At 54.5% G+C, this 21,849-nt stretch overlaps 1 long non-coding RNA gene across 1 annotated transcript, besides 14 other annotated features; it reads right to left on the minus strand.

Moving 5' to 3' along the window:
- Positions 1,045-1,194: a silencer, noted in NCBI's record as "silent region_6185". NCBI's record gives its function as "represses an Ori minimal core promoter by ATAC-STARR-seq in GM12878 lymphoblastoid cells {active_cell/tissue: GM12878}" and the evidence as "EXISTENCE:reporter gene assay evidence [ECO:0000049][PMID:35858748]".
- Positions 1,205-1,284: a silencer, noted in NCBI's record as "silent region_6186". NCBI's record gives its function as "represses an Ori minimal core promoter by ATAC-STARR-seq in GM12878 lymphoblastoid cells {active_cell/tissue: GM12878}" and the evidence as "EXISTENCE:reporter gene assay evidence [ECO:0000049][PMID:35858748]".
- Positions 1,365-1,444: a silencer, noted in NCBI's record as "silent region_6187". NCBI's record gives its function as "represses an Ori minimal core promoter by ATAC-STARR-seq in GM12878 lymphoblastoid cells {active_cell/tissue: GM12878}" and the evidence as "EXISTENCE:reporter gene assay evidence [ECO:0000049][PMID:35858748]".
- Positions 3,726-4,227: an enhancer, noted in NCBI's record as "H3K27ac hESC enhancer chr14:105119263-105119764 (GRCh37/hg19 assembly coordinates)". NCBI's record gives its function as "activates a minimal SCP1, AML or CMV promoter by ChIP-STARR-seq in primed H9 embryonic stem cells {active_cell/tissue: H9 hESC(primed)}" and the evidence as "EXISTENCE:reporter gene assay evidence [ECO:0000049][PMID:30033119]".
- Positions 6,645-7,145: an enhancer, noted in NCBI's record as "H3K4me1 hESC enhancer chr14:105122182-105122682 (GRCh37/hg19 assembly coordinates)". NCBI's record gives its function as "activates a minimal SCP1, AML or CMV promoter by ChIP-STARR-seq in naive H9 embryonic stem cells {active_cell/tissue: H9 hESC(naive)}" and the evidence as "EXISTENCE:reporter gene assay evidence [ECO:0000049][PMID:30033119]".
- Positions 7,146-7,646: an enhancer, noted in NCBI's record as "H3K4me1 hESC enhancer chr14:105122683-105123183 (GRCh37/hg19 assembly coordinates)". NCBI's record gives its function as "activates a minimal SCP1, AML or CMV promoter by ChIP-STARR-seq in naive H9 embryonic stem cells {active_cell/tissue: H9 hESC(naive)}" and the evidence as "EXISTENCE:reporter gene assay evidence [ECO:0000049][PMID:30033119]".
- Positions 7,863-7,972: an enhancer, noted in NCBI's record as "active region_9116". NCBI's record gives its function as "activates an Ori minimal core promoter by ATAC-STARR-seq in GM12878 lymphoblastoid cells {active_cell/tissue: GM12878}" and the evidence as "EXISTENCE:reporter gene assay evidence [ECO:0000049][PMID:35858748]".
- Positions 9,123-9,252: an enhancer, noted in NCBI's record as "active region_9117". NCBI's record gives its function as "activates an Ori minimal core promoter by ATAC-STARR-seq in GM12878 lymphoblastoid cells {active_cell/tissue: GM12878}" and the evidence as "EXISTENCE:reporter gene assay evidence [ECO:0000049][PMID:35858748]".
- Positions 9,303-9,372: an enhancer, noted in NCBI's record as "active region_9118". NCBI's record gives its function as "activates an Ori minimal core promoter by ATAC-STARR-seq in GM12878 lymphoblastoid cells {active_cell/tissue: GM12878}" and the evidence as "EXISTENCE:reporter gene assay evidence [ECO:0000049][PMID:35858748]".
- Positions 10,073-10,667: an enhancer, noted in NCBI's record as "H3K27ac-H3K4me1 hESC enhancer chr14:105125610-105126204 (GRCh37/hg19 assembly coordinates)". NCBI's record gives its function as "activates a minimal SCP1, AML or CMV promoter by ChIP-STARR-seq in naive H9 embryonic stem cells {active_cell/tissue: H9 hESC(naive)}" and the evidence as "EXISTENCE:reporter gene assay evidence [ECO:0000049][PMID:30033119]".
- Positions 10,668-11,262: an enhancer, noted in NCBI's record as "H3K27ac-H3K4me1 hESC enhancer chr14:105126205-105126799 (GRCh37/hg19 assembly coordinates)". NCBI's record gives its function as "activates a minimal SCP1, AML or CMV promoter by ChIP-STARR-seq in naive H9 embryonic stem cells {active_cell/tissue: H9 hESC(naive)}" and the evidence as "EXISTENCE:reporter gene assay evidence [ECO:0000049][PMID:30033119]".
- On the minus strand, positions 11,920-16,358 carry LINC02280 (long intergenic non-protein coding RNA 2280). The gene is made up of 2 exons (NR_135293.1): positions 15,533-16,358; positions 11,920-14,909 (listed from the first exon to the last, which is right to left on the minus strand). It is a non-coding gene; the product is annotated as a long intergenic non-protein coding RNA 2280 (long non-coding RNA).
- Positions 12,741-12,800: a silencer, noted in NCBI's record as "silent region_6188". NCBI's record gives its function as "represses an Ori minimal core promoter by ATAC-STARR-seq in GM12878 lymphoblastoid cells {active_cell/tissue: GM12878}" and the evidence as "EXISTENCE:reporter gene assay evidence [ECO:0000049][PMID:35858748]".
- Positions 13,326-13,825: an enhancer, noted in NCBI's record as "H3K4me1 hESC enhancer chr14:105128863-105129362 (GRCh37/hg19 assembly coordinates)". NCBI's record gives its function as "activates a minimal SCP1, AML or CMV promoter by ChIP-STARR-seq in naive H9 embryonic stem cells {active_cell/tissue: H9 hESC(naive)}" and the evidence as "EXISTENCE:reporter gene assay evidence [ECO:0000049][PMID:30033119]".
- Positions 16,288-17,050: an enhancer, noted in NCBI's record as "H3K27ac-H3K4me1 hESC enhancer chr14:105131825-105132587 (GRCh37/hg19 assembly coordinates)". NCBI's record gives its function as "activates a minimal SCP1, AML or CMV promoter by ChIP-STARR-seq in primed H9 embryonic stem cells {active_cell/tissue: H9 hESC(primed)}" and the evidence as "EXISTENCE:reporter gene assay evidence [ECO:0000049][PMID:30033119]".

Raw genomic sequence — 21,849 nt, forward strand, 5'->3', positions numbered from 1 at the left:
GTTCTGTGGAAGGTCTCTTTTGCTCAGCATCATGTTTATAAAGTCATCCATATTGCTGCACGGATCGCTGGTTCATATTGATATTCATTAGATAACGGTTGGACCAGTCCTCCCACCCTCCCTCCCGCCATCTCTCTCTCTCTCTCTCTCTCTGTCTCCCTCTCTCTTTCTTTCTTTCTTGAGATGGAGTCTCGCTCTGTGGCCCAGGCTGGAGTGCAATGGTGTGATCTCGGCTCACTGCAACCTCCGCTTCCCAGGTTCAAGCAATTCTGCCTCGGCCTCCCGAGCAGCTGGGATTACAGGTGCCCACCACCACGCCCGGCTAATTTTGGTATTTTTAGTAGAGACAGGTTTTCACCATGTTGGCCAGTCTTTTAAATGAATCCAACGAAATCTAAATATCATGGTGATTTAATCATCAATTTTTAAGAGACAATTTTTTAACAGACTTAAATGTTTTCTCCTTTGCCTTGTATTTTCCCTCCACTTTGCCCACAGAATTTTATGCCAACATGACATATCTTCTGCTCCAAGTCCTCCGCTGGCCTCACTGTGCTTTTCCGTAATGGAAATATGTGTATAAATTGAAATGCCACTTTTCATTCTTTACTTCATAAGTCTCTTATCTTTAAATGTTTCTACTGGATTCATTATTTTTCAATTATTAGCCCACAGTTCCTCAAAACCACTGATTGGGATATAAATAATCTATATTATACATTTTGATTAAAAATTGTTACACAGAAAAAGGAAGTTTTCATTGGGGATGCATCTCCCGATGAAGGGGACGGGCTTTTTTCCGTGTAGCCCCTGTTTCCATGGGTGACGACGACTTGTTGAAAAGACTCACTATCCCGCGTGGAATGTCCTCCTGCTTTTTGGGTTTTAGGGGCTAGCACTGAGCGTCTTTGTTCACACGAACAAGTCTACGGGACAAAGGAGGATTGGGGCAGCACTTCCGCAAACCTGAGACGGGCCACCGGGAATCGCTGCTGCGGTCGGGGGCTGCGACGCCACCAGCCCCAGGGTGGAGAGCGGCTTTCTGGGCGTCCGGGCAAGTCCATGCTCCGGGTGGGGAGGCCGAGGGGCCGAGGAAGTCGAGGGTCTGGACATTCGCTGCCCCGGAGCCGCGTGAGCCCGCCCCGCCCTGGAACGTCCTCCCAGGCGTTCTCGCCTTTGCAGCCCCCGCCTGACTGCGGACCCTCCACTCCCCACTCTCTCCTTCCATCCCCGCTTCCCTCTCCCTGCCCCTCCTCCTCCCCCGTCGTCAGCCTTGACAAAGGAGGGCGATGCCACCGCTTACCGCCAGAGGGCGCGCCGCGCCCCCCAAACGGACACTGAAGCGGGCGCCCCCTGGCCGAGCGGGGCGCAGGGGAAGAGGGGGCGGAGGGGGAGAGGAGGTGCAGGGACAGAGGGGGCCCAGGGGGCTTCCAGCCTCCTGCCTGGGTCCTGGTTTGGTTGCCCCCGCACCACCCAGCGCTTGCCCACCCTGCCTCAGTCTCCCCATCTCCCAGCCTCGGGGCTCCTCTGGCTGGCTGGGGCCCACCCTGGGGCAGAGCCGCTGGGTCTGGGGATGGGTAGCATCAAGATGCCTCGAAGTCCTGGCCTGGTCTTCAGGCTCCCTATAATTAGGACTCCACCCCCACCCCTACAGGAGCCTGTCCAGAAGGTCCTGGGCGTGGCTGGGGTGTCGTGGACACCTGCCATCTTTCCTGAACGCTGCAGACACCTGCGTCCCACTCCAGTGCAGGTGGCCTGGGCCCCTTCAAGGAATGGCTGGGAGTGGGAGGGTGGGCCTGGGGTTTCACGGCCCACACCTGAGGCCAGTCACACCCCGACTGGGCCAGGCAGAAGCTGCACAAACTTCACACTGGAAAGGTGGGGCCAAGGGCAGCCCCAGCCCACCTGCCAGCACCTCCCCATCCCCAGCATCTGCCGGGCACAGTGGGGGCACACCTAACCTCCCCACCCCTACCCACTCTTGACATATAAGGCCTCAGCCAGGAAGTCCAGAAGGAGGGCGTGGACGGGGATCTGCACTGGAGGCCTCTACCACCTGTGAAGCCATCGGGCCTGTGGGCCGCAGGGCAGGACTCCCAGGTCTGGAGGGCCCTCAGGCTGGCCTCCATGAGGTGCCGCGAGGCTGGGGTACAGAGCTGAGTCCCCACAGCCCTCACCTCCCTGGCCCCTGCCCATCACAGCCTAGCTCCTCCTGGAGCCACCTCACCTCCCTGGGCCTCTGTTTCCCCCTCCGTAGAGCAGAGGTGTTGACGGCTTTCGCTTGGAAGGCTAAGCCAGTCTGTCTTTGCGGAGTCCACGTGCTGCCAGCACACAGTCCATGCTCCGGAGTCAGCATCCCACCACATGGTGGAGGGGATGTTCTGAAACCCCTCTTTGAAACTCACAGAACCTGGGGACAAAGCGGGGCAGCGTTTTGTCAGTGAGAAGTGGCCGCAGGAGGGGCCCAGTGACCAGCACCAGGTACAGGAGCAGACCCACGGCCCGGCCCACAGGCACCAGACACCCTGGGCACAACCGGGCCTGGGTTCCCTCTGACATGGGGCACCTGGACAGATACTTGAGCACAGCCAGGCCTTCAGATGACAGCCATCCCCGCAAGCATCTGACCACGTGCAAGACCCCGCACCTGAGCTTCCCAAATGAGCCCCTCCTAAATGCCAACTCCAGAAACCATGAAATAATTGTCCACTGTTTACGCATCGGAGCCGCTGGCCATGCAGCAAAGGGACCAAGCTGCTGGCGCGCACAGGTTCATCTCCCAGTGGCTCCTGCTGTCGAGGGCTGCCCCCCTGCTCCCCTCCTGCAGGGCTTGTTCCCAGCAGGTGCATCCTCTAGCTGGGCCTGGAGACCCGGCGCCACGTGGCACAGCGGTGACTCTACAGCGCCCTCGTGTGCGGCTCTAGGTGCTCCCACCCGCCTCTCTCCCGGCTCAGCCTGGGCACCTTTCTCCTGGTCGCTGTGTCCCAGCACTCTCCCCTTAGGAGGCTTGGGCTGGCGGTTGTGAACGTTTCCGACCGGGCTGTCCTGGCTCCCCACCAAGTGTGTGTCCACCCCTCCCACCATGGCTGCTCCCCACGTTGGCTCAGGGAGCCCCTGAGGAGGTCCATGGCGTCCCAAGCCCACCAATGCCCACCACTGCTTTCAGCTTCCTCGTGCTCGCCAGCCACCAGGTTGGTGGTCTCTTCCTGCCCACTCTTATTTTGTGTTCCAGGGGAACATGCTGCCACCAGGCTTTACTGTGGACAGTGTCCTCTGTGTCTCCGGTTGTGCAATCTCGGTGGCTCATGTTTTACAGGGGGGTTGGGGAGAGCCAAGCCCGTGATCACTTCTCCCGCATCCTTCTCCATATGGAGAGGTTACGATATCTAGCCTCAGAACCACAGTCGTCTCATGCTCAAGGCCTGTGGGCCAGGAATCCCGAGCTGGTGGTATTGAGCCAGGAATCCCGAACTGGTGATATGCACTGTTGCTTTTCCAAACAGAAAAAGAACAAAAACTTGTAGTCCAACCCAGTTGACTCCTTAAACTACCTCTTCGAAACTCACAGAACCTGAGGACAAAGCAGGGCAGTGTGTTTATATGAAGTTGATAAACTTAAAAGACAGCTGTGAAGCCATGAAAATCCATGGAAGAACCCTAAATGCATATTACTGAGTGAAAGAAGCCAGTCTGAAGAGGCCACATACTATATGATTCCAACTCTAGGACATCCCAGAGAAGGGGAAATTACGGAGACAGTAAAAGGACCCGTAGTTGCCAGGGTTAGCGGGGGGGAAGGGATGAATCGCAGAGCATGGAGGGTGTTTACGGTAGAGAGGGCAAACCGGTGCAGCCACTGTGGAGACCAGAATGGCGATATTTCAAACAGTATTTCAAAAACTTATATTAGAATTGCCACATCATCCGGACATTTCACTTCTGGGTATTCGCCCAAGAACTGAGTGCAAGGACTTGAACAGATATCTGCACACCCGTGTCCACAGCAGCATCATTCACCAACACACGAAGGTAGAAGCAGCCCAGGTGCTCACGGATGGATGAACCTGGTGTATCCAGGCCTGGCGCGGCGGCTGGGCGAACCTGGTGTATCCAGGCCTGGCGCGGCGGCTGGGCGAACATGGTGTAACCAGGCCGGGCGAGGCGGCTGGGCGAACCTGGTGTATCCAGGCCTGGCGAGGCGGCTGGGCGAACCTGGTGTATCCAGGCCTGGCGAGGCGGCTGGGCGAACCTGGTGTATCCAGGCCGGGCGAGGCGGCTGGGCGAACCTGGTGTATCCAGGCCGGGCGAGGCGGCTGGGCGAACCTGGTGTATCCAGGCCTGGCGAGGCGGCTGGGCGAACCTGGTGTATCCAGGCCGGGCGAGGCGGCTGGGCGAACCTGGTGTATCCAGGCCTGGCGAGGCGGCTGGGCGAACCTGGTGTATCCAGGCCGGGCGAGGCGGCTGGGCGAACCTGGTGTATCCAGGCCGAGCGAGGTGGCTCACGCCTGTAATCCCATCACATGGAAGGCCAAGACGGGTGGACCGCTTGAACTCAGGAGTGCAAGACCAACCTGGCCAACAGGTGAAAATCCATCAATACAAAAAATACGAAAATTAGCTAAACATGCTGGTGTGCGCCTGTAGTCCCAGCTACTCAGGAGGCTGAAGTGGGAGGATTGCTTGAGCCCAGGGAGGTCGAGGCTGCAGTGAGCCATAATGGCGCCACTGCACTCCATCCTGGGCAACAGAGCGAGACCCTGTCTCAAAAAGAAAAAAGTGGCGTATCCATCAAGGGGAATATTATCCAGCCTCAACAACACCAACAACAACAACAAACACAGGAGGTCCTGACACAGGCTGCCACACAGCTCAGGCTTGAAGACATTATGCTGAGGGAAAGAACCGACACAAAAGGGCAAGTGCTGCCTGACTCCATGTTTGTGAGGCTCCCAGAGCAGTCAAAACCGCAGAGACAGAAAGCAGAATGGAGGGTGCCAGGCTGGGGGAAGGAGGGTGTGGGGAGTTTGTGTTTGCTGTTTCAGAGTTTCCGTTTGGGAAGGTCAAAAAGTTCTGGAGATTGGTTGCACAACAATGCGAATGTACTTACTGCCACTGAACTTGAACTGTACCTGGAAACATGGGAAGACGGTGTGGAAACAAGCCCCCAGTCAGCTGGTCTGGCAGCTGATTTGATGCAGATCAAGAGGGAAGTGAGGAATCGATAGGGAAGACTGTGATCACCCCTAATCGGCACAGACAGATAGGAGGTGTTAAGGGGGTTCAGAAGAGGTTAAGACATAGGAGAGATGGATAAGAAGGTTTTCCGTACTTCCGATCGAAATTCCAGAGGGGCTGGGCACAGTGGCTTATGCCTGTAATCCCAGCACTTTGGGAAGCCACGGCAGGTGGATCACTTGAGGCCAGGAGTTCGAACCCAGCCTGGCCAACATGGTGAAAACATATCTCTACTAAAAATACAAAAATTAGCCAGGCATGATGACGGGTGCCTGTAATCCCAGCTACTCGGGAGGCTGAGGCAGGAGAATCCCGGAGAACCTGGGAGGCAGAGGTTGCAGTGCAGCCAAGATTGCGCCACTTCACTCCAGCCTGGGCAGGAAAGCGAGACTCTGAAGAAAGAAAAGAAAAGAAGCCGGGCGCGGTGGCTCACACCTGTAATCCCAGCACTTTGGGAGGCTGAGGCGGGCGGATCATGAGGTCAGGAGATTGAGACCATCCTGGCTAACATAGTGAAACCCTGTCTTTACTAAAAATACAAAAACTTAGCCAGACGTGGTGGTGGGTGCCTGTAGTCCCAGCTACTCGGGAGGCTGAGGCAGGAGAATGGCGTGAACCCAGGAGGCGGAGCTTGCAGTGAGCAGAGATCATGCCACTGCACTCCAGCCTGGGTGACAGAGCGAGACTTGCCTCAAAAAGAAAAGAGAAGGGAAGGGGAGGGAAGGGGAAGGAAGGGGAGGGAAGAGGGAGGAAAGGAGGGAAGGAGGGAAGGAAGGAAGGGAGGGAGGGAGGAAGGGAGGGAGGGAGGGAAGGGAAGGAAGGATGGAAGGAAGGAAGGAAGGAGGGAAGGAGGGAAGGAGGGAAGGTGGGAAGGCGGGAAGGAAGGAAGGAATTCCAAGAGGTGGAAATAAATAAAACGGGGAGAGCCCACCAGCTCCCTGACAATATGGCTGAGAATTTTCCAGAACTGATAAAATATGGAAACTTCAGCCTCAAGAGTGCAGCACTCTCAAGCAGGAAGAATAAAAGCAGCCCATACCTAGCTGTCCCGTGGTACACTCAGAATGCTGAAGGAGAACTTGCTGGAGGCAGACCCCGCGAACGGCAAGAACAGGAGCAGATGACCGTCTCTGAAGTGCCGAGGCAGAGGCAGCAGCCGGACCCACACGCCCTGCTCCACTCCCACTTACGGGTGTGGGAGAAGCATCAGATCAGCAAAATGACTGCGCCACCACCCAGCTCCTTAGCAGAGCAACCTCCACAGAATACAGCTCAGAAAGAGGGGACGCCTGGGCTGCCAGAAAGAGTGGGGTGCAAACATGTGCAAACCTCAACGAGTGCTGGCTGTGTGCAACAAAGCCCTGTGGAAAGTGGAGGGTGATAAAGGCAAGGCAGACCTGAGTATTGGGCAGTCGTAATGATCTGTGAGCCAGGAGGGGCGTGATCAGGAGGAGGATGGAAACACTGGCTATCTTTGAATTCTAAATATACTTGTTAAAATTCTAAGAGTGACTATTTTAAAATAGAAATAGAGCATATAACTTCCACTTAACTCTCCAAGGAAAAAATAGAATGTCAGACTGAGCCAGAGCCATGGAAGAGTGCTCAGGCAGCGGGAGCTACACGTGCAAAGGCCCTGGGGAAGGAGGGAAGAGGCGCATGCCTGGCACTGATGTCAGTGCGGCTGGAGGCAGACGGGCGCAGAAAGGGGTCTGAGACGTGGCTGAAGGCAGCAGGACCAGACAGGATGGGGCCTCAGGGCCGTGGTTCTGAGCTTCATTCCAACAGCAGGAAAAGGGAGGCATGTTTGTAACCTGCAGGGAGGCGGGAGCCATGGACAGGATTGCATCTGTGACTTGCCAGCATCCCGCCGGCTCCCATGGGAGCAGACTGCCCTCAGGCCCCAGCGGAGGGAGGGAGAACAGACAGAACAATTTTGGCCCCTGGACATGGTGGCGGCAGGGGAGGTGGTGAGCAATGCAGGAAGGGAGACTTAGGAAGCAGTGCCTAGCTCCTCGGTGTGGAGGCAGTGAGGGGAGGGAAGAACACGGAGAGAGGCTGGCTCGGGGCTTGACAAAGTGGTGGGGTGTCCCACGGGAGGCAAAAGCAGATGGTGGGGGCGGGCGAGAGAGTCACGGTTCTTTCAGCCTCATCAAGTGTGTGTTTCTGAGGACGTGGAGGGCGGTGGGAGGCTGACGGTGCACAGACAGCGCGGGAGCGGGGGCGGGGGGCAGTCTTCATAGATGAGATGGGGCACGGCCCCTCCGGAGAGGAGGCCTCTCCTCGGGGAGAGGAGGGGATGACAGAGGCAGAGGTGGGGCAGCCAGGGAGGTAGGAGGGTGCTATGGACTGAAGTGTGGCCCCCCCAAATCCTTATGTCAAGCCGCAACCCCCAATGTGACTGATTTGGAAATAGGGTCTTTAGAAGGTAACTACGACCTTTACGAAGTCATAAGGGTGGGCCCTAATCCAACAGGGCTGTGGCCTTCCAAGAAGAGGAGGAGACACCAGAGGTGGGCGCAGCAAGGCCGGGAGAAGGTTTCATGAGAAACCAGCTCTGACACTGGTGGCACCTTGATCTTGGACTTCCAGGCTCCAGAGCTGTGAGAAAATAAAGGTCTATCGTCTAAGCTGCCCAGGCTGAGGTCTTCTGTTACGGTAACTTGGGCTCACTCATCCAGAGGGGAACCAAAAGCATGTGGGGTCCTGGCACCCACAGGCAAGCGCTGTCAAGAAAGAGGAAGCAGAAAGCATGTGCATGGCTGCTCCTTCAGAGCCTGCAGAAAACTGTGCAGACAGGGCACGGGCACAAACCCATGTGAGCAGAGAAGCATCTCTCCGGGTGCACACCCGCACTGCTGAGATGCACCTGCCCCCGCAGGGCTCAGATGTTCCCTGTGAGAGCAGTGCCATCCCCCACGCCTCCTGAGGCTGCCTGGGTCCCATAATGGCCACCGTGCCATCTCCTATCCCACAAGCCCTCCTAACCCTGCCTCTCCCTCGTCAAGAGGCAGGGGCTGTGTCCCCTCCCCTTGAGCCTGGCCAGGCCTTTGGGTCTCTGCTGACAGAGGATAGCAGAAGTGAGCTGGGTTAGCTTGGTGCATTACAGTTGCTCACGCCTGTAATCCCAGCACTTTGGGAGGCCGAGGCAAGACGGTCACTTGAGCGGAGGAGTTCAAGACCAGCCTGGGCAACATAGTGAGACCCCCCTCTCTACAAAAAAAAAAAAAATTGTTTTAATTAGCCAGGCATGGTGACACACATCTGTAGTCCCAGCTACTCACAAGGCTGAAGCAGGAGGATCGCTTGAGCCTAGGAGGTCAAGGCTGTAGTGAGCCATGATTGCACCACTGCACTCCAACCTGGGCAACAGAGCAAGACCCTCTCTCAAAAAAAAAAAAGGGACTGGGTGACTTGCAAGGCTATGTTCTGTCAACTGACAAAAAATAGACCAACACTGTAGATCAGGAAACAAAAGAGAAGGAGGGCCTCAGGAACTGCGGTTCAGGAGACACAGATCTAGCAAGGAGCTCAAACGTGTCTGTGCGGGGGAGGCCGGGCAGGGGCTTACAAAGGTTTGCTGTGAGTCTACACATCCGGAAGCTGTTGGCATGGTCCATGACCGACGGTGGGGGCTTAACAGCTTAGGACAGCTCTGGCTGATGATCAATCTAGTCAGGTGTGCCTGTCTCCAGGAGACCAGTGATCAGGCCCGGTGTGAATGGTTCAAATCAAATGCAGCTGGTTCACGATCCGGCCCAGGTCAACAGATCAATTCTATCTGGCGAGTTGGACGGGGTCCAGCTCCTCTTGCCCTCCCAGTTCCTTTTTAGATAGCCCTGACATAACCATCTCCATTACGGATTTTCTTTTCACAGCTCTGGAGTCCACGCACCTCCATCTTGTTCTCCTGGGAGGCTGACTTGGGCTCCAGCCACCATGCCGAGTGAACCATGACAGAGGTGGCCCTCCAGCCCCCACTCGGGCACCCCGGCTGATGCCACGTGGACAGAGATGAGACAGTCCTGCTGAGCCCTGCCCAAATTGCAGATTTGGGAGCAAAATGCATGGTCTCTGGGATTTACGTCTGAGGGTCATTTGTGACGCAGCAACAAACAGATGCATTTTGCCGGTGGCGCATCCGCCCACGACGGAGCCTGGCTCAGCTCTGCAGGTGCGCTGCACCACCCCTGGTGTCCTGGCGTCACTGGTACCTGTTTCTCTCTCAAAGCTGTCCTGGTTTGGAAGATGAGTGGTACAGCCATCCCATCAATGCGAAACCAAAGGCCCCCTGAGGCAGCCCCCACAATTGAAGAGCAGGCTGCCCTCAGAAGGGGCCCAAACCCCTGCCATTGGACCAAACTGGCTGATTTAGTTTCCTGCCCTCTAAAGTGGAAATTAAGAAACTGACAATGAAAATGTCCCCTTTAGGCTGGGAGCGGTGGCTCATGCAGATAATCCCAGCACTTTGGGAGGCTGAGGCAGGAGAATCACTTGAGCCCAGGAGATGGAGGTTGCAGTGAGCTGAGATCGCACCACCGCACTCCAGCCTGGGTGGCAAAGCGAGACCCTGTCTCAAAAAAAGTCATAGCTTGACTTCCAGAGTCTTCCTGTCTGCCCGGTGCTGGTCGGTGGTCTCTGGAAGCCCTCCAGCTGCCACCTTCCTTTCTGTCCCTCCCCGGGAGGGATATGCAGGCCCAGAGGAGGTGACTCCAGGCGGGTGGTCCCAGAGGAAGGGGGCTCCACCCTTCCCCTGAGTAGTGGGGAATGTGGCTTCACCCTTCCCCTGCATAGTGGGGAATGTTTGGGATCTGCTGGGAGGGGTCTGCCATGGGGGCAGTGTGGGAAGGTACTCAGAAACCACCAGCACCCCCCACCCTGGTGGCCCTGGATTCTGGTGGGGCCACTGGAAGCCCGGACCCATGCAGGTCTCAGCAACATCACCCCCTCCACAGTGAGATCCGTGTCAGAGTGACCCGCCCCAACCAGTCCCAGGGCTCCCTGCTTCTCAGACCCTCCCTCCTTCCCAGCCCAGAGCCCCTCCCTCCGAAGCTTCCCTTCTCCTACTCCACCCCTGCTGTGGGGAGAAAAGACCTGCAGAGTACCCCAACAAGCCCTCTGCACTGGGGGAGGGGTGCACGTCCACTCACCCAGAAGGGGATTGGGAACCAGAAGCCAGGTGAGCCTCCCTGAGATCACAGGGCCTGATTCCGGGACCCCAGTGTCCAACACCTGCCCCCCCAGGGTGCTCCACAGCCCCTGCCTACACCTCAACCCCCCTCCACCTCCACATCTGTTCAGGTGATGTCCAACACCACCCGAATCTTACTGACCACTGGTGAGAAAGGGAGGGGCGAGGTTGGCCTCTGCATGGTAAAGCTGGGTAAACTGAGGCAGCACGTTCTGGGCAGCCCAGGACGCCCAGGTTCCCGCCAGCCCACGGCCTCTCCCGCCTTGCACGGGCTTCACAGTTTGCCAGCGAGGGCACAAACGGGGGCTCCGCGGGCCGGCGACTCACCGCGCCTTCCCTACCCCGCCCCAGTTTCTCCCATGGAGCTGGTCTGCAGGCCCGGCATCCACAAGCCCCACCGCACTGCACCGCTCTGCAGGTCGCTGGCGCCTGTTCTGGCCTCGCTGGGACCCCCACCCAGACGCACCCCACAGCCAACTCCACCGGACCCACGCTGCCCGAGTATTTTTAGCAGAGGGTCAGATGCCTCTTAAACCTCAGCTGAGACGTGAATTTCCTCCCTGACAGCTGCGGCCAGGAGCCGCACGTCCTGCCTGGCGGGCGTGGGCGGTTCTGACCTCGGAGGCACAGCTGCAGGGTCTGCAGTCCTCTGGGAACTTCCTCCTCCCAGGTGCCCCGATTTGGGCTCCCTGGGTGCCTCCGCCCCAGGCCGCCCACCAGGCGCTCACTTGCCCGGTCCTCCGTCTGGAGCCCCTCCCGATGGCCGTCGCCACCCACTCTCCTTCTCTGTCTGGAAGCTTGGAGAGCAAGAGCAGAGGCCTGGGTTCAGATTCTCAGGGATCTGGGTTCAAGTCCTGCCCCCACCCCCCTGCACTTGGGAAAGCTGCTACCTCTCAGAACCCGTTTCCTCCACTGTGAAGTGGAAGGAAAATTGCCCACCTGGGGGCTGTTGCGACTATAACCAGCCAGCGGTGCCTGCAGCACCCACAGACCCCCAGGCGTCTTCAGGGCTCCCTGTGCCCCAGCCAGCGCCAGGAGCCTGCAGGACCGAGAGGGGCCCTGGCAGGGCTGCACAGATATTCAGATGTTCAGACCTGAGGCCCAAGACCTGCCTGCCAGGACAGGGACGCTCCTGCCTGGGGATGCTGGGGTCCCAGAAAGTGAGAAGCAGTGGCCCAGCGCCCTCTGCTCTCACTTCCTCCCCACCAAGCACAAGTACTAATTACGCACACCTCAGCTCCCCGGGGGGGCCAGGAGGAAATGCCCGGCAGAGCCCTCCGTCCTACCCCGTGCAGCCTGGGTCTCCCTCCACGGGCCCAGCCTCTTCCACTGCTGCTTTCAGTTACCCGGCTTTGTAGGCGCAAACACCCTGTCTGTTTTCTTCTTTCTCAAGCCATCTTAGCTGCTTTTGATCTGTATTCTTCCATGTAAAATGTAGACTACATTTATTTATTTCTTTAAAAAAAAATTGAAGCCCAAATGAGACTCCAATTAGAATTGCATTGAATTTATTATGTCCCCATAATTCTCTGGGGAGAATTATGTGTTTATAACATTACGTTTTCCTGTCCGTTCTGTTAGGCTTGCTAAGTAAGCTGACATGTGATCTGCAAATGATGGCAGATGACTGTGTGAGGTGGCCTTGGGAATGTCATGGCTCCTCTCCACAGCACTCTCCTTCACATTCCAGAAAATTCTCTCCACCAGGCATGCCTTTGGCCAGCCCTGGGACATGTACTGCCCCTTGAGGTTTCCAGTACTCTGCCCTACCTTTATAAAGAGCCCCTTTGTTAAACACTGCTGCAAGTAACCTGCTCTAAATGTGGGTCTCTTTCCTGCTGGGACCCTGATAGATCTAAGGGTTTCTCCCAGGAATTCAAGGAAGGTTTAATATCAGAATCTGATCCGTGCAAATACCATCTGAATAGATGACAGGGCAAAAAGTGTCCCAATGTCTCAAGTGATGCCATCGGTGACTTTTTAAAAATTTCTGGGCAAATTAGAAATTGAAACAAATGAAATATTTCTAATTTGATAAAATTGTTCACCAAAAACCCACCAGAAAAATACATTTATGGAAACAGTTGTTGCCAGGAGTTCGGGAAAGAGGAAATGGTTGGATCGGTGGAGCACAGGGGGGTTTTTAGGGCTGTGAAACTAACGTGAACGACATTGTAATGGCAGAGACACGACACTGTGCATCTGTCAAAACCCACAGAACTTCACAGCAAGAGTGAGCCTTAATGTATGCAAATTTTAAAGCTCAGTCAAGAGGCTGGGGGTCTAGGACGGAAGGCGGGCCGTGTGTGGCGAGAGCCTCTGGCTGTATCACAGACCCAGGGAGCAGCTGTATTACAGACGTAGGGAGGGGCTGGGGGATGGGGCTGACCTGGGTACCCTCACAAACGACGAAGTCTGTGAAGCCAAAAGCAAATGGACCCGCACATGAGCCCTGTACCCTGGCAGACACACGCTTCTGCCGCGGGGTACAGGTGAGCAGTCCCTACACTGCTCCCCCTGCACACTGCAGCTTAGCGATTAGGTCCATGGATGGTGGGTGGTGGGGCAGGTTCCTCACTGTGGGGTGGGAGCTACAGACAAGCAGGGGCAAGGGCCAGAACGACCCACACGGCCCAGGGTCAGGGTCGAGACAGCAGCACCAGCTCCTTCCTGTGGGCTCCCTCTCCATGCGGGCGGAGTGACGGTTAACTTTATGTGTCAGCTCCCCTGGCCGTGGGGTGCCGGGTTGAACGTTATTTCTGGGGATGTCCGAGGGTGTTCTGGATGAGATTAGCATTTGAATCAGTGGGCTCTGTAAAGCAGGCCGCCCTCCCCAGGGTGGGTGGTGTCACCCAATCCGCTGAGGACCCGAATAGCGCGGAAGGCAGAGAAAGGTGAATTTGCCCCCCTCTTCCTGCCACGCTGCTTGAGCTGGGACACTCACCTCACCTTCTCTGGCCCTGACACTGAGATTAACGCCATTAGCCCTCCGGCTCTCAGGGCTTCGGACTCAGACCGCACTGCACCACCAGCTTCCCTGGGTCTTCGCGGGCGTGGGACCTCTCGGCCTGCGTGGTCACCTGCGCCCAGGCTTCAGCTGGCATTTCCCCTGCTTGAACTTCTTTCTCGTGCCGCCTTGTGAGAAGGCACCTGCTTCCCTTCCACCATGATTGTAAGTTTCCTGAGGCCTCCCCAGCCATGCAGAACTGTGAGTCAATTAAACCTCCTTTGTGGGCTGGGCGAGGTGGCTCACACCTGTGATACCAGCACTTTGGGAGGCTGAGGTGGGTGGATCACTTGAGGTCAGGAGTTCGAGACCAGCCTGGCCAACGTGGTGAAACCCCGTCCTACTAAAAATACAAAAATTAGCCGGGCATGGTGGCACGCACCTGTAATCCCAGTTACTTGGGAGGCTGAGGCAGGAGACTCACTTGAAACCAGGAGGCGGAGGTTGCAGTGAGCTGAGATTGCACCACTGCACTCCAGCCTGGGGGACAAAACAAGACTCTGTCTCAGTAAATAAATAAAACCTCCTTTGATTATAAATTACCCAGTCTCTTGTAGTATCTTTATAGCAGTGTGAGAACCAACTCATACACCCACTATATTGAAATACGGTTACCAAAATAATAAAGTAATTGTTATTGGATTTCTTGTTAATCTACTGATTCAGGCCAGGCATGGTGGCTCACGCCTGTAATCTCAGCACTTTGGGAGGCCGAGGCGGGTGGATCACCTGAGGTCAGGGGTTCAAGACCAGGCTGGCCAACATGGTGAGACCCCTCCCCCCCCGCCACCATCTCTACTAAAAATACAAAAATCAGCTGGGTGTGGTGGCGTGCACCTGTACTCCCAGCTACTTGGGAGGCTGAGGCAGGAGAATCACTTGAACCTGGGAGGCGGAGGTTGCAGTGAACCGAGATTGCACCACTGCACTACAGCCTGGGCAACAGATTAAAAAAAACCTACTGATCCAGATCTAGCAGCAGCTCTCATGACCAACAGTGTTGAAGCAGGAACAAAAATGAGGCTTCAAGACGCCGAAGCAACTGAAACACGATGGGAAAATACACAGGACTTTGCTGACGGTGGAGTCCCAGGTTCTGTGGAGACCGCTAGGTCCTTTGGCCACATTCACTATTGAGGAACACTCACTTTAGCCTAGAGGCTGGTGAAAGTAAAGATGCAACGTTTTTCCATCCAAGTTCAGGGACACCTGAATCCCATGATCAGTAGGTTCTAGTTTAGAACCCGGCTGCAGAGTTTACACCTGAGTGTGGTGATTACATCTTCACCGTTTCCTGATTTTTATCCCATGATCAGTAGCTTCTAGTTTAGAAATCCGGCTGCAGAGTTTACACCTGAGTGTGGTTATTACATCTTCACCGTTTCCTGATTTTTATCCCACGATCAGTAGGTTCTAGTTTAGAAACCCGGCTACAGAGTTTACACCTGAGTGTGGTCATTACATCTTTGCCGTTTCCTGATTTTTAGAAAAAAAAAAAAAAAAAACCTGTGATCTGAACCAAGGTAATTGATCTCCCTCCCTTCCTACAGGTGTCCACGCCCTTGGGGAAGGTTATAGGGGTTGGATGTGCTTTTGACCCCAAGGGCTCCCTACGTAGCCCAGGCCAGCCTGGGGCTTGGAGGAGGGCGGGTGAGCTGATGAGAACCTCCTCCATGCTCAGCTTCCACCTGCTGGCATCTGTGTGCCCAGCACACAAAGCCTGGGCAACGGGCGACTCCTGTGAGCAGAGCTTCACCCTCTTCCCCTCTCACTACCCCCCACCCCACCTGCAGCCCCTCTCCTCCCTCCCCTTGGTTCGAGATGACCCCAACTCCCCCGGAGATTTCTACTGGGATCTGGTTTGGTTTTTGCTTTTTATGATCCCCTAAACCCATCTTCACCTCCCTGCTAGGGCTCCCCAGGTTGACTGGGGAGGACCCCACATTCCCCATGATTCCACGCAGCAAAAGGCACTTCTGGCAGGAACCCGCATCCCAGGGCAGGCCCTGGGGCACCTTGGGCTGGGGAAGACTGCGGCCCCAAAATCTCCACTCCCTGCGCTGCCATCTGAAACACCACCATGATGGATAATGTCTTACCTAGGGAGAAGGCACCTGTGCTGGAAAAGGAGACCCAAGAGACCCGCCTGGACCGTGTGGGTGAGACCATCGCACCCTCCTGCCGAGGGAGAAGGCACCTGTGCTGGCTAAAAGGGGTCCCAAGAGAACTGCCTGGACAGTGTGGGTGAGGCCATTGCACCCTCCTGCCGAGACGGTGGGCCCTGCTACAGAGCCTGATGCCCCTGAGGAGCTGGGACCACTGTCCTCCCAATACACATACACACACAAACACACACAGAGACACACACCGACACAAACACACAGACACACAGAAACACACACAAACACAGACACACACACAGACACACACAAACACACAGACACACACAAACCCACACACACACAAACACACAGATGCAAACACACACACACAGACACACACACACAGACACACAGAAACACACAGACACACACAAACCCACACACACACACAGATGCAAACACACACAGACACACAAACACACACAGACACACAAACACAAACACACACACACACAGACACACAAACACACAGATGCAAACACACACACAAACACACAGACACACAAACACACAGACACACACACAAACACACAGACACAAGACACACACACAGACACACAGACACACAGACACACAGACACACAGACACAGACAACACACACAAACACAGACACACACATACACACACACAAACACACAGACACACACAAACACACACAGACACACACAGCACACAGACACACACACAAACACACACACACCCTTCACAACCTTCCTGGGCTCTTAGCATTTTCTGTGGGGCTGTCAAGGCAGGAAGATCCAGGAGGGACCCCAGGGCGGGGAGAGACAAACTCTCCCAGCTCAGGAAGGCAGTGTGCTTTCGCCTAAATAACTGAGTGAGCTCACACTAACAGGAAGTGTTTTGATTTTGCAGTCTGAGAGTTAATCCCGTCGCTGGCCAGACATGTTTGCTTTTAGGTTCTCTGGTGGCCCACAGGTCCCAGTTCTGAATGGAAACATCCCGAGGCGGCCCCTCCCCTCCTCAAACTGCACCCTCCCCGGGCATGGCGCTGCCTGCAGGCTGTAGAGAGGGCCTGGGCTTTTTCACACCTTGGGGAGGTGTAGACCAGGGAAAGGAAGAGGAGAAGGATGTGGGCAACCCTCCACCACCAGGGAGCTCCACCACCACTCCGCAGGCCCTGGCGTGGCACCGTCCCCGAGGGCTGGCACCGGGCTGGTGGCAGGCCTCAGCATCAGAGGGTGGCTGAGTCGCACACACCGCCCCTACCCCTCTTCCCGAGACTGAGCCCCTCTCTCTAGCCCCAGAGCAGGAGTCACCCCCAGCCCCACCAGCCACTGCCCATGAAGCTGGTTGGAATTGCCCTCAGCGGCCACAGAGGCCCCAGCGGGGTCCCCAGCCAGGCCGACATGCACTAGCAGCTCAGAAAGAAAGGCCTTGTGTCCAGTGACCTCCCCCAACCTCGGAATGTGGCCGTTCTCTCCTCCCATCCCTACAGTAGGGCTGAGGCTGTCCCGAGTACAAAGGCCTTTTGTCCCCACAACCAGCCCCCACCCGCCGAGGTGACACTGGAGCTGGGAGAGTGGCAGCCTCCATGGCGGCCACAGTGGCTCCCAGCTCCCCTGCAGCAGGGCCTCCCTCCTCCCCCAGGGCCGGGCAGAGGGCACCTGCAGGGCATCTTCCCCGGCACCCCCTGGCTGCAGAGCACCCTGGTGAGAACGATCTAATCGGAGAGCCCAGGCTTATACACAGCTTCTCTCTGCCAGCTGAGAATTTACGTTTCTGATTAACTTGTGTTACCCACAATACACTGTAGACTACAGAAGGCCAGGACCCTCTGAGGTGGTGCAGTGCCCCCAGTCTTGTTCTGGGTGAGGGCTCCACGGACCTCTTTATTTGTCAAAACTCATACACTTTAGTTCTATGCATTTTACTCTGGGTAAACTGTATCTCAGGCCAGGCGCGGTGACTCATGCCTGTAATCCCAGCACTTTGGGAGGCCAAGGTGGGTGGATCATTTGAGGTCAGGAGTTCGAGACCAGCCTGGCCAAAATGGTGAAACCCGTCTCTACTAAAAATACAAAAATTAGCCGGGTGTGGTGGCAGGCACCTGTAGTCCCAGCTACTCAGGAGGTTGAGGCAGGAGAATCGCTTGAACCCGGGAGGTGGAGGTTGCAGTGAGTCAAGATTGTACCACTGCATTCCAGCCTGGGCGACAGAGCAAGACTCTGTCTCAAAAAAAAAAAAAAAAAAAAAAAACTGTATCTCAAAAATACATGGCCACAAAAAAATACATAGTCATTGTTTTAAGACACCAGAAAATACAGGCAAGCCGAAAGAATTCTGAACAACCAACGGCCGCTGCCCGAGGCCAGTTGCTGTGATTGCAGGTACTTTCCACCTGTCCAGACGCCTCCACGCGTGTGACACACACGCAATGCCAACCACACAACGCAGGCCGCCGTGAATGCCACTTACATCTGTCAGTGACAAAACCTGACCGTGTTTCCACTAACTCTGACACAATATTTTAAATGACTGCACATTATGCTGTGTGCATAAGCCAATTTGTGTTCAACAAATCCATGTATTGTTGGAAATTAACCACTTCTGGGGTTATTCTTTCAGAATTCTAAACAGTAGGGCCACAAATATCCTGATAGCTTGGTCTTTGAGCACCTTTAAGGTGCTATCTTGAGGTAAAGACCCAGGATTGGTGTTGCTGGGGCAAAAGACACTCACCTGCATTTTAAAGGGTTCTTTTTTGTTTTTGTTTTTTTCTGAGATGGAGTCTCGCTCTGTCACCCAGGCTGGAGTGCAGTGGTATGATCTCAGCTTACTGCAACCTCCGCTTCCGGGGTTCAAGCGATTCTCCTATCTCAGCCTCCCAAGTAGTTAGGATGACAGGCGCCTGCTACCACACCTGGCAAATTTTTGTATTTTTAGTAGAGACAGGGTTTCACCATGTTGGTGAGGCTGGTCTCGAACTCCCAACCTCAGGTGATCCACCTGCCTCGGCCTCCCACAGTGCTGGGATTACAGGCTTGAGCCACTGTGCCCAGCCTTAAAGGGTATTTTTAATGCCTTATGGAAAGCAGGGGTTCCAATAGGCTTTCCAGTCCAGTCTCTTCCTTGATCTTTATAACTCCAAAGAGCCTGGCAGACACTGAGCCTGCGGGGGAACACGAGAACCATTCTGCCTTGGAAATAAGACTAACCTACTGGATGCAGACCAGAATGCAATACACCTTGACAGTGTAAAACTAATCCCTGGACTTCCGGCCGGGTGCCGTGACTCAGGCCTGTAATCCCAGCACTTTGGGAGGCCGAGGCAGGTGGAGCGCTTGAGGTCAGGAGTTCGAGACCAGCCTGGCCAACATGGCGAAACCCCATCTCTACTAAAATACAAAAAAAAAAAAAAATAGCTGGGCTTGGTGGCACGTGCCTGTAGTCCCGGTTACTCGGGAGGCTGAGACAGGAGAATCACTTGAACCTGGGAGGCGGAGGTTGCAGTGAGCCAGGATTGTGCCACTGCACTCCAGCCTGGGCGACAGAGCAAAAATAATAATAATAATAATACCTGGACTTTTACTTTCACGTAGGCAAGGTGGATCCCACAGGGAAGGTCACCACAACTACTCACAATAACTGAGGAGGCCAGACACATTGTGAAAACCTTACTGCGAAGGCATCAGAGAGCTGCAGAGGCTGCGAGGACTTAACGAACTAAAATTCCAGAGAATGGAGAACTGTCAGATAAGCAGGTGACCCACAGCCATCTTTTTACCTGGGGACATTTGCCTATTTGGGACACTGGGCTAAGGATTGGGCTTGGCCCAGGCAGAGAGCTACAGCCGGGGAAGAAGAAACCAGCAAAGATTCTCACTGTCACAGGGAGGAAAGTGGCAAAATCGGAGTGTCCAGGGCCACAACCAGGCAGCGGGGCCCTCAGCCCCACCCCAAGACACCTGTAGGATCTCAATGCTGCTGCAGGAGGAGGCTCAGGAGCAAGTTGAGCAGCTCTGTGAGGCTGGACTGCACTTCCCACAGCCTTTCAAAGTGGGGAGATCAAGACCCGCCAGGCTCTCAGCTGAAATCTGGAGAGACCAATCCCCCAAACCAGGGCAAACCAGAGGAAGCCTGAACCCCATCAAACTACACACCAGTCCACCCGGGCCCATCCCTCACTGGGTTGAGGGACCTGCCCCTCTGTCCATCCTAACTGCCTGAGGTTTTTGCTCCCAATACAAGCCAGGTGGCTCCAATTAGAACAACTAATGTGCAAATAACAACTATAATTGCCAGGCCGGGCACAGTGGCTCACACCTGTAATCCCAGCACTTTCGGAGGCCGAGGCGGGCGGATCACGAGGTCAGGAGATCGAGACCATCCTGGCTAACATGGCAAAACCCTGTCTCTACTAAAAATACAAAAAAAAAAAAAATTAGCCGGGCGTGGTGGCGGGTGCCCGTAGTCCAAACTACTCAGGAGGCTGAGGCAGGAGAATGGCATGAACCTGGGAGGCAGAGCTTACAGTGAGCCAAGATAGCGCCACTGCACTCCAGCCTGGGCGAGAGAGCAAGACTCCATCTCAAAAAAAAAAAAAAAAAAACTATAATTGCCAGACAAAATATAAACACCAAAATGTAAACTCACTAGGCCAGGCACGGTGGCTCACGCCTGTAATCTCAGCACTTTGGGAAGCCAAGGCAGGCAGATCACCTGAGGTCAGGAGTTCAAGACCAGCCTGGCCAACATGGTGAAACCCCATCTCTATTAAAAATACAAAAATTAGCCGGGCATGGTGGGGTGCCCCTGTAATCTCAGCTACTCGGAAGGCTGAGGCAGGAGAATCACTTGAACCCGGGAGGCAGAGGTTGCAGTGAGCTGAGATCGCGCCACTGCACTCCAGCCTGGGCAATAGAGCAAGACTCCATCTCTCTTTCCATATATATATATATATATTTTATGTATGTTATATATATTATATATATATATAAACTCACTGCATTCTGAGTGACCAAAACCAGACAGAGGTTGTAGGGAGTTGACTACAGGAAATGGAATGACCCGAAGAACCAGAGGACAGAGTTTGGGGTGACCATGGCAGCTGGACTGTGAGGGGGAAATCCCAGAAAGGAGAGCGCCATAGAGAGGGATTCCCCAAAGACTGCATGAAAAACTCAGCTCAGATCTCTGGCAGAACCCTGAGCTATGTGCACACAGGACAGATCCCAGCAATTCACATAGCTGAAGAGAGATTTACCTGCCAGCCACACAGAGGAGGCAGCGTTTACCATTTGAGTTCAGTCAGGTTAACTGCTTGATGACACAAAACCAAAACAGTTAATAATCTGGAGAGAAAGATACGGAATCGCACATCCCTACAGTGTAGTGTTCACAATGCACAGGGTCAACCCCAAATCGACAGACACACCAAGAAGCAGGCAAATGTGACCGAGAATCAAGAACGTGAATTGATGGGAGCCAGAAGACAAAGGAATATATCCTTAAAGTGCTCAAAGAAAAAACATGGCCAACCTACAATTCTACACCCAGAAAAAATATCCTTCTGAGATGAAAATGAAATAAAGACTTTTCAGACAAACAAAAGCCAGGATAATTCATCTTTGATGGAGCTGCAAACGGAATATTAAAGGAAATATATCTAGGCATGAGGAAAATGATCGCAGATGTAAACATGAACATGTAGACAAAAATGAAGAATACCAGAAAAAGTAAAATATGTGGGTAAATTCAATTGAATATAGACTGCTCAGAACAATACTTGTAGTATCTTATAGAGTTTAGAATACAAGTAGGCTGGGCGCAGTGGCTCACACCTGTAATCCTAGCACTTTGGGAGGCCAAAGCGGGCAGATTGCCTGAGCTCAGAAATTCGAGACCCGCCTGGGCAACGTGGCGAAACCCCATCTCTACTAAAAATACAAAAAATTAGTTGGGCATGGTGGTGCATGCCTGTAATCTCAGCTACTTGGGAGGCTGAGGCACAAGAATCACTTGAACCCAGGAGACGGAGGTTGCAGTGAGCCGAGATTGTGCCATTGCACTCCAGCCTAGGCAAAAGAGTGAGACCCTGTCTCAAAAAATTAATTAATTCATTAATTTAATACAAGTAAAACCACGTGTATAACGACCACAACAAAGGAGGTCGGGGATATTTGCAATACAAGTGTACGGCCACGTACAAAAGACTTACGTCCAAAACATATGTAAAGAGCTCCTACAAATCAACAAGAAAAGGATAGACGACTCCCTAGGAAGTGAGCAAAAA

This window comes from Homo sapiens, chromosome 14 (genome assembly GCF_000001405.40).
Source record: "Homo sapiens chromosome 14, GRCh38.p14 Primary Assembly".
Lineage (NCBI taxonomy): Eukaryota > Metazoa > Chordata > Mammalia > Primates > Hominidae > Homo > Homo sapiens.